At 55.5% G+C, this 17,057-nt stretch overlaps 2 protein-coding genes and 1 long non-coding RNA gene across 7 annotated transcripts in view, besides 1 other annotated feature; 1 reads left to right on the top strand and 2 right to left on the bottom strand.

Moving 5' to 3' along the window:
• MYO15A (myosin XVA) overlaps positions 1-9,203 on the bottom strand; it is a 71,045-nt gene extending 61,842 nt beyond the window's left edge. The window contains exon 1 of the mRNA NM_016239.4: positions 9,135-9,203. The gene's annotated coding sequence lies outside the window, so the exon portion shown is untranslated. The remainder of the gene's footprint in view (positions 1-9,134) is intronic.
• LOC105371566 (uncharacterized) lies at positions 398-10,268 on the top strand. The gene is made up of 3 exons (NR_164159.1): positions 398-617; positions 6,881-7,107; positions 9,324-10,268. It is a non-coding gene; the product is annotated as an uncharacterized LOC105371566 (long non-coding RNA).
• Positions 9,990-17,057, bottom strand: part of DRG2 (developmentally regulated GTP binding protein 2) — a 20,022-nt gene continuing 12,954 nt past the window's right edge. For 2 of the 5 annotated variants that reach the window (XM_005256499.4, XM_005256500.3), the window contains 6 exons: positions 16,369-16,466; positions 15,962-16,038; positions 14,070-14,158; positions 13,278-13,399; positions 11,473-11,526; positions 9,990-10,805 (listed from right to left, as the gene is read on the bottom strand). In XM_005256499.4, coding sequence (XP_005256556.1) covers positions 10,719-10,805; positions 11,473-11,526; positions 13,278-13,399; positions 14,070-14,158; positions 15,962-16,038; positions 16,369-16,466 — 527 coding nt within the window. In that variant the 3' untranslated portion in view covers positions 9,990-10,718. The remainder of the gene's footprint in view (positions 10,806-11,472; positions 11,527-13,277; positions 13,400-14,069; positions 14,159-15,961; positions 16,039-16,368; positions 16,467-17,057) is intronic. The other 3 variants (XM_011523704.3, NM_001388.5, NM_001330144.2) reach the window with 3 other exon arrangements.
• Positions 10,260-10,907: an enhancer, noted in NCBI's record as "H3K27ac-H3K4me1 hESC enhancer chr17:18010366-18011013 (GRCh37/hg19 assembly coordinates)". NCBI's record gives its function as "activates a minimal SCP1, AML or CMV promoter by ChIP-STARR-seq in naive H9 embryonic stem cells {active_cell/tissue: H9 hESC(naive)}" and the evidence as "EXISTENCE:reporter gene assay evidence [ECO:0000049][PMID:30033119]".

Here is a 17,057-nt window from a genome sequence, read left to right as displayed (position 1 = left end):
TCTCTGGGCCTCAGTTTCCTCTGAAGAATGGGAGTGATAAGCTATGCCCCATCTCCTTCACCAAAAGGAAGCAAGACCTGATGGAGCTGCTGGGTAACTGGAGATGCCTCCTGCTGGCTCCTTTCTGGGGTCCCTGCCTAGCCCTGTCCTCTCCTCTTACTTTCTGCCCTGGCTGAGTAGGCTGTGGCCATGTGGTTACTGCCTTCTCTGGGCATAGCTGATTGCTTCATATGGCCTGACCTAAGGCTGCATGTCCAAAGTCTGGTTGGTGGCCAGTCTAACTCACTTTTGAGAACCTGCACTAAAAGAGGTAGGGGGTGGGAAAAACTGGGCAGGCCAGCGGAGGTGGGGAGTGGCAGCTCTGAGACCTGAAGCCTCAGAACCAGCTCTCCTCCTCCTCTTCCTCCTCAAGATGGACCTCAACTCACTGAACTCTGGTTCACTCTTTTGGTCCCAGAGCTAATTCTTTGGTTGTTTAAGGTTTAGCATAGGAGACCCCAAAGCAGCAAGGTTCTGGCCCTGGTTCTGCCACTTGCCAGCTCCACGCCCTCAGATCAGTGGCTTCAGAGCCTCAACGTGCTCAGCTGTGAAACAGGGACAGGGTGAGGCCTTCCCAGGTAAGTGGCAGGAGCAGAGAGGGGACCATGCAGCAAGTGAGGTCTCCCCCTCTCTGTCTGCCTCTTCCCCCTGCTCACTTTCTCTGGCTCTTCACTTTCCTCTTCTTCCTGCTCCTCCTCCCCAAGATTCACCTGGAGCCAGTCAGTGCCCAGCCACTCAGAGGAGTTGCACCAGGGGCTGTTGGTGCCTGGTGCAGGCAGTCTCACAGGGATGGGGAGTGGGGCTTGATGGAAACCAGAGAAATTGGATGGAGGGCTTTTGGAGCGAGTTAGGGGATACGTGCAGGAAGTGGGCCTCCTGCACAGCAGGAGTTTGAGGGGCTGCCCACTCTCCCTTCTGTTTTTGGGCAGTGGCTCTTGCCCGCTTGAGGAAAAATGAAGGACAGGGGCAATGTTCTTTCTTTCTTTCTTTTTTTTTTTTTGAGACAGAGTCTCGCTCTGTTGCCCAGGCTGGAGGGCAGTGGTGCAATCTCGGCTCACTGCAACCTCCGCCTCCCGGGTTCAAGCAATTCTTGTGCCTCAGTCTCCCAAATATCTTGGATTACAGGCATGTGCCACCACGCCTGGCCAATTTTTGTATTTTTAGTAGAGACGGTTTTTACCATGTTGGCCGGGATGGTCTCAAACTCCTGATCTCAGGTGATCCACCAACCTTGGCCTCCCAAAGTGCTGACATTACAGATGTGAGCCACGGCGCCCAGCCGAGACATTCTTTCTGAGCCTGGAGATATCAACAACTGCCCCAGCTCCTCTTGGAGCCAGTTTCCAAAGTGAGGCCCCAGTCAGGTGTGTTGCACAGTGGTCTCATGGGACTCTCACAGCAGGTCTGTGAGATATGAGCTATTAGTATATCCATTCTCCGGATGAGGAAACTCAGACTCAAAAGATGAAGGGACTTGCTCGAGGCCACCTGGCTTGGGAAGGTAGAACCCAGGCCTGGCCGAGTCCAGAGCTACCTCCCTTACTAGGCCCTCCTGCCCGCTGAGCTCCTGGGTCATCACTGGGTTTAGAGTGGCTTAGGACACTGGGCAGAGCCAGGAGCATAGTCGTGCTAACCCCACAACCTGCTCCTGCCTGGAGGGGGAGGGCCCTGACCAAGCCACTGGGCAAACCAGAGCCCAGCTGGGCCTCCAACAGGCACCAAGGCCTCTCCAGTGCTTGCCCACCGCTACCCCAACCTGGATTCCTCAGTCAGCCTGGCCCCTTTCCCTAAGGGTCCTGAGCCAGCATTTACTCACTCACCCATTCATTCAAAAGCCTCTGTGGGAAGTGTGCTGCATGCTAGGCACCGTCTAAGTGCTGGGACACAGCTGTGAACAAAACAGAGAAAAACCCTGCCCTCATGCAGTTACCATATGTGGGTGGAGAGAAAGCCAATAAACATGGAAAATCAGTAACAGATAATGGGGCGTAAGTGCCGTGGAAGGGACAGCAAGAAGTGGGGTTGTGACATTAAACAGGAAGTCAGGGAAGGCCTAGTGGCTATGGGGCCATGGAGAGAGCCTGTGGGCAGTGCACAGTCCCAAGCAGGTGGAGGAGCAGACAGGCCAGGTGGCTGGAGGGCAGTGGGGGTGCACTGGGTGGTGAGGTCAGAGTTCAGGGGCACATGTGCAGGGCCTGTGGGCCACAATGAGGGCTTGGCTTCGACTGCCAGTGAGGCAGGAGCCGTGGGAGGAGGGTTTTGGCAGAGAAGGGATGGAATTCGACCTCAGTCTTTTTTTTTTGAGACAGAGTCTCGCTGTGCTGCTCAGGCTGGAGTGCGATGGTGCGATCTTGGCTCACGGCAACCTCTGCCTCCCAGGTTTAAGCAATTCTCCTGCCTCAGCTTCCCAAGAAACTGGGATTACAGACACACACCGCCACGCCCAGCTAATTTTGTATTTTTAGTAGAGACAGGGTTTCACCATGTTGGCCAGGCTGGTTTCGAACTCCTGACCTCAGGTGATCTGCCTGCCTCGACCTCCCAAAGTGTTGGGATTACATCCGTGAGCCACCAAGCCTAGCCTCGACCTCAGTCTTGATAGCAGCCTCTACTGCTATGGGAGAAGCGGCTGCAGGAGTGAGGGTGAAGGCAGGGAGGCCAGCATGGAAGCTTCTATGGAGGTCCTCCTGCACCAGGCTGCCAGCGGTTAAAGTGTGGAGAAGTGGTAGGATGCTGGGGACATGTGGCAGGTAGGACTGACAGGATTTGATGATGGGGATGAGGCAGGGTGCAGGAATGGCTCCCAAGTTTCCTTACTGAACATCAGGGAGAATGGAGAGGCCGTCAGGTCATTGGCCAGGATGAGGAAGGCTGCAGACAGAGCAAATTGAGGAAGTAGGGCCCAGGATCCAGCTTTGGGCACTGGGCACTGCTGGGGGGCCATCACAGCCACCAGGGCTGGTGACATCAGTTAGGGAGTCATTGGCATCTAGATGGCATTGAAGCCACAGCTCTGGAGGATGACACCAGGGAATGAGTATAGAGGGAAGAGAGGCCACGGAATGAGCCGCAGGGCTGCAGTGCTTAGGAGCCAAGGAGGCAGTGAGTGAGCACCACGAAGCCAGCCAGAGGAGGAGGTAGAGGCCCAGGAGGGAGTGGGGTCCTGGGGGCTGCACAGGAGGGCGGGACTGCTATGACAGATGGGACCGCTATGACAGATGAGCATGTTAGTCAAGAATGGAGAGCTGACTAATGGATGCAGCTCCTTAGAGCTCCAGGGGTGACTGTGACAAGAATGGTCCCAGTACAGTAGCAGGGGCAAGGGAAGTTACACCTGATGGAAGAGGTTTCAAGAAAGACAGGACCAGGGCCAGGTGCAGTGGCTCATGCCTGTAATCCCAGCACTCTGGGAGGCCAAGGCAGGTGGATCATATGTGGTCAAGAGTTCGAGACCAGCCTGACCAACATGGTAAAACCTCATTTCCACTAAAAATACAAAAATTAGCTGGGCGTGGTGGCGCATGCCTGTAATTGCAGCTACTCAGGAGGCTGAGGCAGGAGAATCACTTGAACCTGGGAGGCAGAGGTTGCAGTGAGCCAAGATGAAGCCATTGCACTCCAGCCTGGGCAACAAGAGCAAAAACTCCGTCTCAAAAAAAAAAAAAAAAAAAAAAAAAAGACAGGACTGTGGTGGTCACAAGGTGGGCACACTTGTGAGCATACTAAAACCACAGCATTGTACACTTTGATGGGTGAATTGTATGGAGTGCGGATTATATATTGATTGTTTTAAAAAAGAAAAAGGACAAGAGGGAGGGAAGGAAGGAAGGATGCAAGTAATCCACCCCTGGGGATCTCTCTTACACGTCCTTATGGGTAAGGACACACAAACAGAGCTGCTCATTGCTGCAGTACACCACAATGCATTCCAGGATGGAACACAACACAGCTATAACAAGGAATGTGGACGATCTCTGTGTCCTGATAGGGAGCGATCTCCAGGACCTGCTAGTGCAGGAAGCAGGCTGCAGATCAGCCTGTTGACTACAGTGTTTACTGAGGCCTTTCTGTAGGAAGAGTGTGTGTGTGTGTGTGTGTGTGTGTGTGTGTGTGTGTGTGTGTCAGGGGAGGTGCTAAGAATATAAGTTTGTATTCTTATGTTTGCCTTTTTTTTTTTTTTGAGACAGTCTCACTCCGTCAACCGGGCTGGAGAGCAGTGATGCGATCTCAGCTCACTGCAACCTCCACCTCCTAGGCCTCAGCTTCCTGAGTAGCTGGAATTACAGGCATGCACCACCATGCCTGACTAATTTTTGTATTTTTAGTAGGGACAGGGTTTTGCCATGTTGGCCGGGCTGGTCTTGAACTCCTGGCCTCAAGTGATCTGCCCACCTCATCCTCCCAAAGTGCTGGGATTATAGGCATGAGCCACTGAGCCACCATGCTCAGCTTGTGTTTGCTTTTTTATTTCCATATTAGAAATACTGCAGCCAGGAGCAGTGGCTCATGCCTGGGCACTTTGAAAAGCTGAGATGGGAGGAGCCCAGGAGTTTGAAACTAGCCCAGGCAATATAACGAGACCCTGTCCCTAGATAACAAACCGAAAAATTACAGGTGGCAAGCACCTGTAGGCCCAGCTACTCAGGAGGCTGAAGTGGGAGGATCGCTTGAGCCAGGATTTTGAGGCTGCAGTGAGTTGTGATCATGCCACTGCACTCCAGCCTCTGACACAGAGCAAGACTCTGTGTCAAAACAAACAAAAGAAATACAGCGCCAGGTGTGGTGGCTCACACCTGTAATCCTAGCACTTTGAGAGGCCAAGGTAGGCTGATTACCTGAGCTCAGGAGTTCGAGACCAGCCTGGGCAACACGGTGAAACCCCATCTCTACTAAAATACAAAAAAATTAGCTGGGTGTAGCAGCGTGTGCCTGTAGTCCTAGCTACTTGGGAGGCTGAGGCAGGAGAATTTCTTGAACCCGGGAGGCAGAGGTTGCAGTGAGCTGAGATCATGCTACTGCACTCCGGTCCAGGTGACAGAGTGAGACTCCGTTTCAAAAAAAAATAATAATAATACAGCAAAAGATACATAAGAAATTAATGAGAATAGTTATCTCACTGTAAATCTTTCTATATTAGTTTGATTTTTATCCATATGAATGCATTTCTGAGTCAAAAACCAAAAAAAATGTAACATTTAAAAGTGTAAATGTGGGCTAGGTGCGCTGGCTCACACCTGTAGTCCCAGCACTTCGGGAGGCCGAGGCAGGTGGATCACTCGAAGCTAGGAGTTCAAGACCAGCCCAGACAATATGGCAAAACCCTGTCTCTACTAAAAATACAAAAATCAGCCGAACATGGTGGTGCACACCTGTAATCCCAGCTACAGATATGCACAGTGTGGTGGCTGAGGCAGAAGAATCACTTGAACTCAGGATGTGGAGGTTGCAGTGAGCCAAGATTGCACCACTGCAATCCAGCCTGTGTGACGGTGCGAGACCCTGTCCCCCACGACCCCCCAAAAAAGTGTATATGTGAAAATGGAAAAAAAAAGGGATTGGAGACTGAGTGGAAACACCACTTTAGAGGGGCTCTCAGGAAGAATGTCAGGGACCTGAGATGTCACAGGTCCAACCCCACCCCCACCCCAGTGTCATGTAACATTTGTTACATTTGTTGAAAGTGAAGCAGAGAGAGGTCAGAGACTTGCTGGGGAGAAGCAGGGCAGGGCTGGCCCTTCAGGCCCAAGAGCACCTCCCAGAGCCATACCTTCTGTCTGCCCCAAGTAGGGGAGCCTTGTCTGTCTGTCCAGAAGAAAGGCTGAGAGGCCACCATTCTCTAGCGGGCTTGCCCAAGTCCTGCCTCAAAGCCTCAGGCAGGCATCTTTCCACTGCAAAGCCCCATTGTCCAGATGAAGAACCTGCCTCTCAGAGAGGCAAGCCCAGCTCTAGCCCAGGGGACGTGGAGCCCAGTGGCTCAGAGCTCTGGGTCAGGTCTCATTCCTCTCCTGGATCTGACCCATAGCAAGTCATGCAGCCTCAGCGTTGGAGTCTCCTCATCTGTGAGTGTAGATGCCTCCCTTACCAGGGCTGACCTGGGCATTACATGAGATAGCGGAGAGCTGGGCACAGTGGCTGGCCTGGGCAAGCAGCTGTTGTTATGACTGCCAACGTCATTGCTACAGGCTGCTGCCTGTCTGCTCTGAGTGAGGAGGTCTGGGTGACTGCTGGCAGCAAGTCCTGCCCACCTGATCCCTCCTGGTCTCTGGGTCCCAGGCTTGACCTCAGGATAGTAGTCAGCTGAGGCTGCCCCTTCTCTGGTAGGTTCCAGGTCCTGCCTTCCTCTCAGGGTCCCCATCCTCTGTGCAGGCACAGAGCGGGTGTCAGGGAGCAAGTCTCTCATTCATTCATTCCTTAAATATTACTTGTGCATTAGTTGTGCATCTATTATGTGCCAAGCACTGTGCAGGGCACTTGGGGTTCGCAGAGTTAAGTGGAACCAGACATGATCTCTGCTCTCATGGAGCTCCCTGTGTTGTAGGGGACACAGACTTTGTTTTTTTTTTTTTTTTTTTTTTTTTCTCTTTTGAGACAGGCTCTGGTTCCATCACTCAGGCTGGAGTGCAGTAACATAATCACAGCTCACTGCAGCCTCAAGCTCCCAGGCTCAAGCAATCCTCCCACCTCAGCTGCCCAAGCAGCTGAGACTACAGAGGTGGGCTACCACACCTGGCTAATGTTTTTTTGTAGAGACAGGGTCCCACTATGTTGCCCAGGATGGTCTTGAACTCCTTGCCCCCGGGCAATATTCCTGCCTCAGCCTCCCAAAGTGTTGGGTTTACAGGTATGATCCACTGTGCCCATCCTGGATGCAGACTTTAAGCAGAGTCACATCAACAAGAAGAGCTGTGAAGGTCAGGGCATGACCCACAGATGCCCAAACACTGCACTGGAGGTCCAGGAAGATTCTGCTGACAACGCAACCCTGAGCCAAGATCTGAAGGATAAGAGGGAGCTTATAACATGGAAGAAGGAACAGTATTCCTGGCAAGTGGAACAGCATGTGCAAAGGTCAGGTGGTAAGAGGGGCTTCAAGGACAGTCCTATGGCTGGAGCAGAGTGATTGAGGGCATGTGAAATGAGAGGTGGCCAGGGTGGCAGGCAGGGACTAGCCCAATGGCCGTGAAAGGGATGGGACTTTGGTCACTGTTTCGCATTTCCAGATGTTTACTATGTGCCAGGCTTGGTACTAAATGCTTTTCTGGAATATCTCACTAGATTCTCACATAGATGAAGGGCTTGATCTTAGAGAGGTTAGATCCCTCAGCCGAGAGCCCACAGTGAGGAAGCCATGGGGCCTGTGTCCCTGACTGCAAGACCTGTGCTCAGAACGGCCAGGCCACACAGACCTCAACTCTCACTACAACCTCCTGAAGTCGGTGTGGTTACTCTTCCCACTTTACAGATGAGGACATGGGCCCAGAGAGGTTATGTGAGTGACACAGCTTGAAGGTGGAGTTAAGCCTGGGCAGTCTGGCTTCAGAGTGTCCACAGTCTCAACCACTGCCTCACATGGCTTCTTAGAAAATATTATAAAAAGAAGCTCGGGCTGCCATGTGGAAAAGAATGGAGAGGGGACAATGACACAGCTGGGAGCATGCTGTGATGGTGTACAGCGGACACATTCAGGATGAGGTGAAACAGGCTGGCCCTGGTGAGAGGCTAGATGGGGCTGGGATGAGGGTGGAGACAAGTAGTCTTGGGGTTGGCTTGGTGCAGCTGGGGGGTGCGGGGAGTGTCTCTGAGGTGAGGCCGGGGGTATGGGAACGCCATGTTTGGTCTGGGACACGGTGGGCTTGGGATGGCTACAGGACAGTGCAGTGGAGAGTCAAAAAGGCTGCTCGGACCCAGGTCTGGCGAGATGGAAGCTGGAGGTCAGGTGAGCTGTCTAGGAGAGGGACAGAGTGGGAAGGAGAGGGTCTCGACTCGGCTTTCTTGCCAAAGGAGGGTTCCGAAATGAGAAACTGTGGAATCTAAGCTGGAGAGGAAGAAAGACGGAGAATGAGTGAACGCACACGTGTGGGACAGATAGATGAATATTCATGTCTTTGGCTCCTATGTACCTGAGTCTTCTAAAGCTGCAGGCCATACTACCCCCGGGAGGCTGCAGGGATGCCAGCTGGGAGATGAATGCAACTCTGCTGCCTGGGCATGGGCCTGAGTGAGGGTGCAGACCCCTGCCTGTGATCATCAGGGAGGGTGATGAGAACAAGGTGGCTGACAGGGTGAGGCCCAAGCCTGGAGCTTACCCAGGTGCGGGGATGGGAGGGTCAGAGACCTTTGGGGGGTCTTAGGGAGCTTCCCCAGCCCTAAAGGCACCGCAAGCTGCCACTTCACACTGACCTGGGCATACGCAGCTGCAGGATCCCTTGCTCGCTCTCTCACAAGCAAATGTAGACTGCGCAACCATCCTGACCACAGATCCAGAAAGCCCAGGACATAACAGAGCCGCAGTGCCTGCCCTGATCCACGCGCACACAGATCTAGCCCAGGAACAAGCCCATCCACGGTGAGGAACTTGTGGCCCAGTGGCTGGAGCCTCTCACCTGAGCCCTCACTGCCTGAGGACCCCCAGCCTCTGGCCTCATTTCCCACCCTTTGCCAGCCAGCCTTGGGGACAAAACAGGTCTGGATCTAATCCAAGGTCTGGACTCACCCTGACACCCTGTGAACTCAAGGCCTTCCCTACCTCACCCTGGGCCCAGAGCCCCTACCTGTAAAGTGGAAGTGGGAATGGCCACCAGCCAGGCAGAAACCCTCACTTAGGGCCTCATGGCCAGGCATCAGGACAGTCAGGAGAGGGGCCGAGGTAAGCCACAGAGGCCCTGCCTGTCTTGGTATCCCACCATCGCCAGGAGGGGACTGCATGGGCATCACACCCCTCACAGATGAACAAAGTGAGGCAGAGAAGGGCCTCAAGATGAGTTAGGGGCGAGGCCCCAGCTCTGCTGCTGCCCCTTCCCTTATCACCCCTGCAGCCTGGGATGCGAGGGTGGCCAGTGACAGACCCCAAGGACTCTAGGCTAAGGTCTCCTTACCTGCGTTCTGTGGCCTGCTCCCCGCCTGCATGCCGCCTCATGGGGGTCCTCTGGCTGGCCCAGGAGCACGGTTGGCCCAGCAGAGCAGCTCAGTGTTATGGGGAAGGGAGGCCCAGCCCACCACGCCGACCGCCTGGGGCCCTATGTATATTTAATGATGTCTATTATTCCTGTTTTGTCTCTGGAAAGGAGTGAGCAGCTGACAGGGGAGCCACGAACAGCCTGGAGAGCTGAGCATGGGCCTGCTCCACACTCCAGCGGGGCCCGAGGCCCCCGGGAACTCTACCCCTCCTGGCAGCCTCACAGAACCTGCTGCATCCATCTCAAAAGGCATACCTCCTCCAGGAAGCCTTCCCCGCTGCTCAGAGGTCTTAAATCCGGGGTCTGCACTCACAAACTGTGCAGCCTACACCAGCTTCTGGGGGACAGCAGAACACTGTGGGGGGCCTGGCACAGTCCCTGGCACACGGTAGGCACTCATCGAGCCCCTGCCAGCCCCTCTACTCCTGACTTCTGAGGCAACAGGAAATGACCCGCCACCTTGTTCTCACAGAGCCTCCCTGCCAGCCCAGATGGTCACAAGGGCCTCCTGGGATGCTGCCCACCTTGGCAGCCAGGCCCCTCCGGAGGGGCCAGTCTGGGCCTGACACCCCCGAACACCAACCCCCTGGGCAGAGCCTGCCTGTGCCTGGGTGAGGAACCCTGCAGTCTCCTTGCCACACAAGGCCTGGGTCTGCCTTGGGGCCCAGGCTGCACCCTCTCCGACCCCCAGGCCCAATGTCTGACCTGTGCCCACCTGACTCAACCTGGCTACTGTTCAGCAAGTTTACAAAGTGTTCTCAGTCTGAACAGGAACCGTTTTCAATCCTTTATTTCAGAAAGGAGAGCCAGGAGAACTGGGGACTTAGAAAATACAGATCCTAAACTCAAAAGTCCCTGCCCCAGGCGTGCAGAGCCAGGGTCCTGGGGTTTTGTGCTGGGCAGGGGCTGCCCTGGGAGGGGGAATACAGGGGGAGGCACTTTAGGACACCCCTTAGGCTGTGGAGGGTGTCAGCTGGGCCTTTGAAGCCACTAACCACTGGTTCCCATCATGGAGAGCCCTGTGTGGGGCACCCAAGGGGGTTTCCTCCTGGAAGGGCCCCCAACCCAAGTGTCAGAGAAGCTGGCAAGAGCTGAGGGAGTGAGGTGCCATGACAGCAGCCACAGCCTCCAGGGACCCAAACAGGCCCAGCTACCAGCCTGGCACTGAGCATGCCATCTGCTTTAGGCCCTGGCTGGCGGGCATGTGGGCAACTTGCTCCCTCAGTGCAGGGGGCTGGGAGGCACAGATGCAGGCTCAGCACTACAAACTCAAAACCCCCATGAGAGGGCTCAGTCTTATGGGAAATGCCTCCAACCGAGCCCCTTTGCCCCAACACACTCTTCGTCTGCCTACTGAAGAAACTTCTGTAAATAGCAGAGACTTGAGGGACCCCTTCCTGGGGTACGTGTATTTGTATTTTTCTGTTTGGGTGTTTGTGTGTCCCAGTGGGACCACCTCCCCAGGGAGACGAGGCAGGTGGGCGGGAGGCCCGGCAGGCGCCGTTACTTCTTCACGATCTGGATGACGTCCTCATGCTCCATGGTGTGGGTCAGGCCCACCCGCTGCGGACTGTACTTGGTGCTGGTGCCCTGGGTGAGGAATGGGGGCAGAGGGGTCACCTCAGCCTGGACTGGCCAAGGTCAAGGAAGATATCCCTGGGCGTGTGTGTCCTGAAGGGTAAATGCCATGGCATAAGGTGGGGGCCTCAGGCAGCAGGATGTCCGCAGTTGTCTGACCATCCCTGATCTCAAAGGTTGGGGAGGGCCAGGCACAGTGGCTAATGCCTGTAATCCCAGCACTTCTGGAGGTCAAGGTGGGAGGATCACTTGAGCTCAGGTGTTTGAGACAGCCTGGGCCAGATAGCGAAACCTTGTCTCCATGAAAAATTAGCCAGGCATGGTGGTGTGTGCCTGTAGTCCCAGCTACTTGTGATGCTGAGGTGGGAGGATCGCTTTTGCACAGATGTCGAGGCTGCACTGGGCCATGATCGTGCCACTGCACTCCAGCGTGGGAGACAGAGCCAGACCCTGTCTCAAAAAAAAAAAAAAAAAAAAACCAGAAAAAAAAAAGGGTGGGGAAGGCCCATGTCTACCCTGGGTTGGCATGTACATTCTATGGAGGACAGACACACAGACATGCCAATCCCCACAGGAAGGACAGGAACACCACGCAGAGAGTGTGAATGCCTTGCTTCATGCCTAACCCAGGGGCTGTCCTGGGTCTACCCCCCTGGTTGCTTTCCACCCAGAGACTCACCCACACCAGGGCGTACTTGAACTGGCTGGCGAGTGACCGGTGGATGCGGTGGCACTGGAGGACAGGAGAGAGTCAGGTAGAGAGGTGAGGCTTCACCTAACCCCATCCCAAGCTTGGCTGCACACCCAAAGCTCAGGACACAGGCCAAGAGGCAGGAGTTCCCGCGGCAGGTGCCCACACAGTCTGGGCCTTGTGTGGAGGACTGACGTGCTCAATTCGCACATAGCCACCCAATCACAGCTGCAGGTGGCCCTGCCATTCCCACTCCTGATCTGCCAGCTGTGGTGCATAGTTAGGAATGTTCCCAAAGCCACCAGGGGAAGGTCAGGGGCCTGGCTGCTAGTGGCCCTCTGCTTGCCTTGCCTGAACAGATGCTCCTTTAGAATGGGACAGGGTGATAGCTTGGAGTCCCCCCTGCTTGGTCACCATCTCTCACTCCTCCTGGCCCCACCTGTGGCCTGAAGCTTCCCACACATCACATCACCCCCAACTCCCAGGGCAGTGTATAAACTTCAGTGCTCCTTGGTAGGGGTGAAGATCCCAGGGGTCCCAGATGTCATATAAAACTGGAAGGAGACCCTGGAGGAGGCAGCCAGCAATTGCCCTGAGAGTGTAGACCTCTGGTTGCCACGCTGATGGTGGCACAGTGGAGGGCGGTGGGGAGGGGACTCTGCAATTGTGCAATGTGACTCCTCCTCCCACATGCCCACAGGTCTTCCAGGCCCTGGTGGGAGACCCAACACCTCAGCCCAGCGTCCCTGGGGCGGAGGCCGGCGCCAGGCCTGCAGGAACACTTCCTTGACACAGATGGGAAGGTGGCTGACTCTGGTCTGCAGATGGGTTTTGTTTTACTCAGCTTGCCCAGCATTGCCACTTGTGAGTGACTGAAGGGATTCAGGAGGGTAATCGTGAGTCTCCTTGGCTCCTCCTGCTGTGATCTCAAGCCTAGGCCCTGAGGGAGATGGGACTTTGCCTGGCCTCCTTTGTTTAACACCTCTAGGGTGGCACTCAGAGACCTGGGGCTGGGCTTGCGGAATGAATGAATGCATGAGACCAGATTACAGGCCCTGCCACCACTGTCCTAAGGGGCTGCAGGGACAGCTGGGTCTACAGCATCCCTTGCCTCCAGGATACAGATCCCAAGAAGAAATGAGCTAGAGGAAAACAACACCAGGAAAGCATCAGCCCAGGAGGACGGCCATGTGACCTGAAGGTTGGCCACCATCTGTGCCTGCAGGGTCATGTTCAGGTGACAGAATCCTGGACAGGGAAAGGCAGCCTCTTGCTCCCTGAGCCCAGACCACCTCCCCTGGGGCCTGTGCATGCCTGCTCCCCTACCTGGGATGCTCCCCACCCCAACTCTTCACTGCCAGACCCACTAGTCCTATAAGCCGGCTCAGGTTGCCTCCTTGAAGCCGCTGTCCTGACCTCTGTGTTAAGCTGGTGCCACTCCCTACTCTCCTTGACTGATGCCTGAATGGCATGGAAGCAGGGTTACTGGCATCTCTGCAAAGCCAGGCAGCATGCTGAGTGCCCTACACACTGGACCTCATTCAACGTGTCCTCCTGACTATCCAGGGGGCAGGCAGCACACCCCCCTCACAGTAGAGGTCAGAGCCTCGGCACATGGCTAAGAAGGGGTGCTGCAGACGCAGCCCCAGGCTGTCCAACTCCAGAGCCTGCGTTGACATCTGAGAGTGAGACCAGCAGAGCCCACCCCCAGCCCAGGGCACCTCAGGCAGAACAGAGCCCCAAAGGGCATGCAGAGCTCCCACCCCTTGTCACGGCAGGTCTTGTCAACTCACCACGTGCTCCACTGAGGCCCCTTTCCGGAGAATGATGGCGTCTGTGAAGTCTGGCCTCTCTGCAGGGCAGGATGGGGAGAACGTCAGCCACACATCAGGGCCCACACTGCCATCTTGTGATTCTGCGCGAGGGAAGAGCTGGCCACAGAGGCCCTTTCGGTCTCCTTGCCTTGGCCTAACCTCCCCCTGACATCCAGCACACCCTCCACATAGATCCCTGTACCATCTTCTACGACCTTGATCTTAACACAGTGACTCAAAATAAATCACGTCTAGGATTCACAGTGCCTGCCACCCATCTGCTGTGACAGCACTGACAGAGACCAGGACCTGGACTGAACGGGCAGGGCGCAAAGGGATGCTGGAGTCTAGTGAGGGAAGCTGTAGCTCACTCCTTGCCAAAGTCAGGGTTGATGCAAACTGCTCCGAATTCAGCTGTTGGGACCCCAGGGCATGTGTGTGTGCGCACCAGGAGGATGGGCAGGAGTTAGACATGGGGATGGCTCCTGTGGATTCAGGTCCCTAATGCTCCTGCGGTAGGGCCTGTCACTGTGAGGGGAGGTCAGGAGGGCACTGACTGCTACAGCCAGTGGGGACCCCAAGGTAGCCTTGCCCCACCAGGGTACCCTCAAAACCAGCAGTGCCCAGTGCTGAGAAGGGAAAAGAGCTGAGGTGTGTCTAGACAAGCCAGGCCAGAGCCGGTGCTGGGGTCTCTGGGCACCACACACCGGCCTGGCAGCCTTCTAGGGATGAAGCTCAGCCTGTTTTTCAGCTACGCGCAGTGCAACTCACGTCCTCTCTTCTTGGTGTAGATGCAGGTCAGGGCCAAGTACTCCCAAAGCATCTCCAGCAGATAGTCCAGGTTCAGCTTCATGCCGCAGCTGCAAAGAGGGAGGCGGCCAGTCAGGCAGGGGCCCCTGTGAATTCAGAGGCTGGGGTCTCCACTTCTCACTATTGGAGCGGATAACCTCCACTGGCCAGGTGGCCCGCTGGTACCCACAGGGAAACAAGCCCATTACTATGATGGCAGCCTGATGTTTCTGCTGCCAGTGCCTCTGGGCACCAATCATGGTCACACTCAACCAGGGTCAGCATCTCTCCTAGGGGCTGGCAAGCCTGTGCTCTGTGGAGGGTTGCAGCATGTGTGATTAGTGAAGGGCTGCCATGGCGAGATGGCCGGGGGCTGTGACGGGACCATGGGCAAAGGCTAGGAACCCTGACACCCAGAGTTCACTCCTTGAGAGGAGCAAGGGACTGCCAGGAAGTCCAGCAGGGATTTCAGCAAGAAGAGGGGAGAACCAAGGCTCTGGAGACACCAGAGCCTTTACATGTAGAACAGGCATGAACCCAGTCCCTACCTCGCAGGACTGCAGAGGGATTAAAAAGATAAGGCCCGGGATGTGCCTTGCTCCAAATACTGGGTGGACCGTGGCTTGAAGGTTTGCGCCGTGACCCCGAGCTGTGTCCTGACCTCTGTAGAGCTATTCTGAGCACAAGCAGGTAAAGGTGTAGAAGCTCTCACGCCCTGAGGATGGCAGCCCCTCAAAGGCCTGGGACACAGCAGGAGGAGAGGACCTGAGGCTGTGCTGTAGAACTGACACTGCTCTTTGTGGTGGCTACAACCACCACAAAATGGTCCTTGTGCTCAGGCCGGGACCCTCATCCATCATTTGCGCTGTCCAGCCTCTTGGTCCCTGAGCTCTCAGTACTGTTGGCCAAGCTTCACTGTGAAGCTGTGGAGTGCCTGCCTCAAGTCAGGAAACCAGCAAAGTGGAGCACCTGAATCAGTCTGCCCCAAAGAGGAGCCTGCCAGGCTGTGGTGGCAAGTGAACAAACATCCAGAGTGCAGGCGGTACCCCAGGGACCCACCCTGCAAAGGAGGGCAGGAAGTGAGTGGCCAGGGCCTGAGAACATTAGTTCCCTTTTTCCCTTTGAGCTGTGATCAGACAGAAGCCACACCTTCCAGAGCACCAGGAGAGGTAGGCTCACACCCAGGGCTTCTTGGGGGGACCTTGGTTCACTACTAAGTTAAGAAGCCTCTTTTTTTTTTTTTTTTTTTTTGAGATGGAGTCTTGCTCTGTCGCCCAGGCTGGAGTGCAGTGGCATGATCTCGGCTCACTGCAACCTCCACCTCCCGGGTTCAAGTGATCCTCCTGCCTCAGCCTCCTGAGTAGCTGGGATTATAGGCACACGCCACCACGCCCAGCTAATTTTTGTATTTTTAGTAGAGACAGGGTTTCACCATGTTGGCCAGGATAGTCTCGATCTCCTGACCTCATGATCCACCCGCCACAGCCCCCCAAAGTGCTGGGATTACAGGCATGAGCCACCACGCCTGGCCTAAGTTAAGAAGCCTCTTAGCCATTCAACCTTGGTTGATGAAATCCTTCTGTTTTCTTAACCAGAGCCCACAAGACGTCACCCACCCTGCCCACGGCAATTCAGAACTGGAATGGGCCAATGCCTCCAGCAGCTATGAAGGGGACCCTCCTGCAGTGTCTCCTTGGCCTCATGGACAAAGTGCTCTGCCCTGGGCAGGAAGTCCTGGGCTCCGTGACGGCTGTGTGCTGCTGGAGGCTGTGCTGGCTTTTCCTCCTCCACAGCCAAAGTGGCTGGGAGGCCTGACGACTGGGGTCAGAACCCACAGCAAGGACAGCAGAGTGGCAGGATGCCAGTGGCCTCACCTGATGACCACACTGTTGGGTTTTCGGGCCAGGCGGTCCACCTCTTCCATGGAGATCTGGTCGATTTTGTTATAAACCTGAGATTGAGAAGGTGGAGGCCGGTGCTGAGGACAGGAGCAAGGCATCCAGGAAAGGGCCCTCCATCGCCCTGTGCCGGCTGCAGCCCTTCCTTGGAGAGCTGAGTCTACGCCCTTCCTCCCCTTGCTGCCTCAGGGTTGGGAAGGCTGGGCTGGAACCCTGGTTTCAAGCTCTCTATGTCTGCAAGATCCAAGCAGCCACTGAGGTGAGGTGAGGTGAGGGGAGAGCCTCAGACTCTTTCTGCTTCTCTCACAAGGTTCCGGGAGCTGAGGAAATGCATGTGGTAGAAAGGCCGAGTGGCCAGGCCAGGGCTCCCCTCCTGCACTTACATACAGGCAGGGCATGTACACCCGGTTGCCCACGATCACATCGATGAACTCGTCCGGGGAGCAGTCTTCTCGGAAAAGCACTTCTGCATTGAAGATCTCTGAGGGGCTCCGATTAAGGGCAACCTGTGCACCAGCTGCCCCTGTCCCCCATCAGCGGAGGGCCCCAAAAAGCCAAGCAGGAAATATGCTGGCCGTGTGGGACCGTGGCGGTATCTGCTTGTGAGGTTTTGCAAGATTGTAATGCTTTGGAAGCCCTCTGTTCTCTTCCCCAGAGGGACCACAATATATAAAAGTTTCAATCAACACAGAGTTTTAATCTTGACAGCTAGGCAGGGAGAAAAACGTACCTGCTAGAATCCCCAAAGCCCCTCAGGGGAAGCCTGGGTTTTAGCACCAGGAGCATCTGAAAGCTGGTCGAACCCAGCTTCTTCCATGCAGGACTCCACTGGGGGCCATCCTGCCTCTGCTTGCACACCTCTGGCAACGAGGGGCTCACAGCTGACTCTAAGAGTTCTCTATATGCCAGGCATAACTCTGCCCAAGGCCCTGCCCTATCCCCAGGGCCCCAGAACACAACCAGCCCCCGACACTACTTTAGAGGCACCACCCATTCCCCAGCTCTCCCTGGGGCTTCTCCAGGCTAGGAACCCCCCGTCCTCAGAGGCTGTTTCCCATGACATCTTTTTCTT

The sequence above is a fragment of the Homo sapiens genome, chromosome 17 (assembly GCF_000001405.40).
Source record: "Homo sapiens chromosome 17, GRCh38.p14 Primary Assembly".
Classification (NCBI taxonomy): domain Eukaryota; kingdom Metazoa; phylum Chordata; class Mammalia; order Primates; family Hominidae; genus Homo; species Homo sapiens.
Note: the sequence above shows the minus strand (reverse complement) of the source record. Positions and strands in the feature narration are given on the sequence as shown.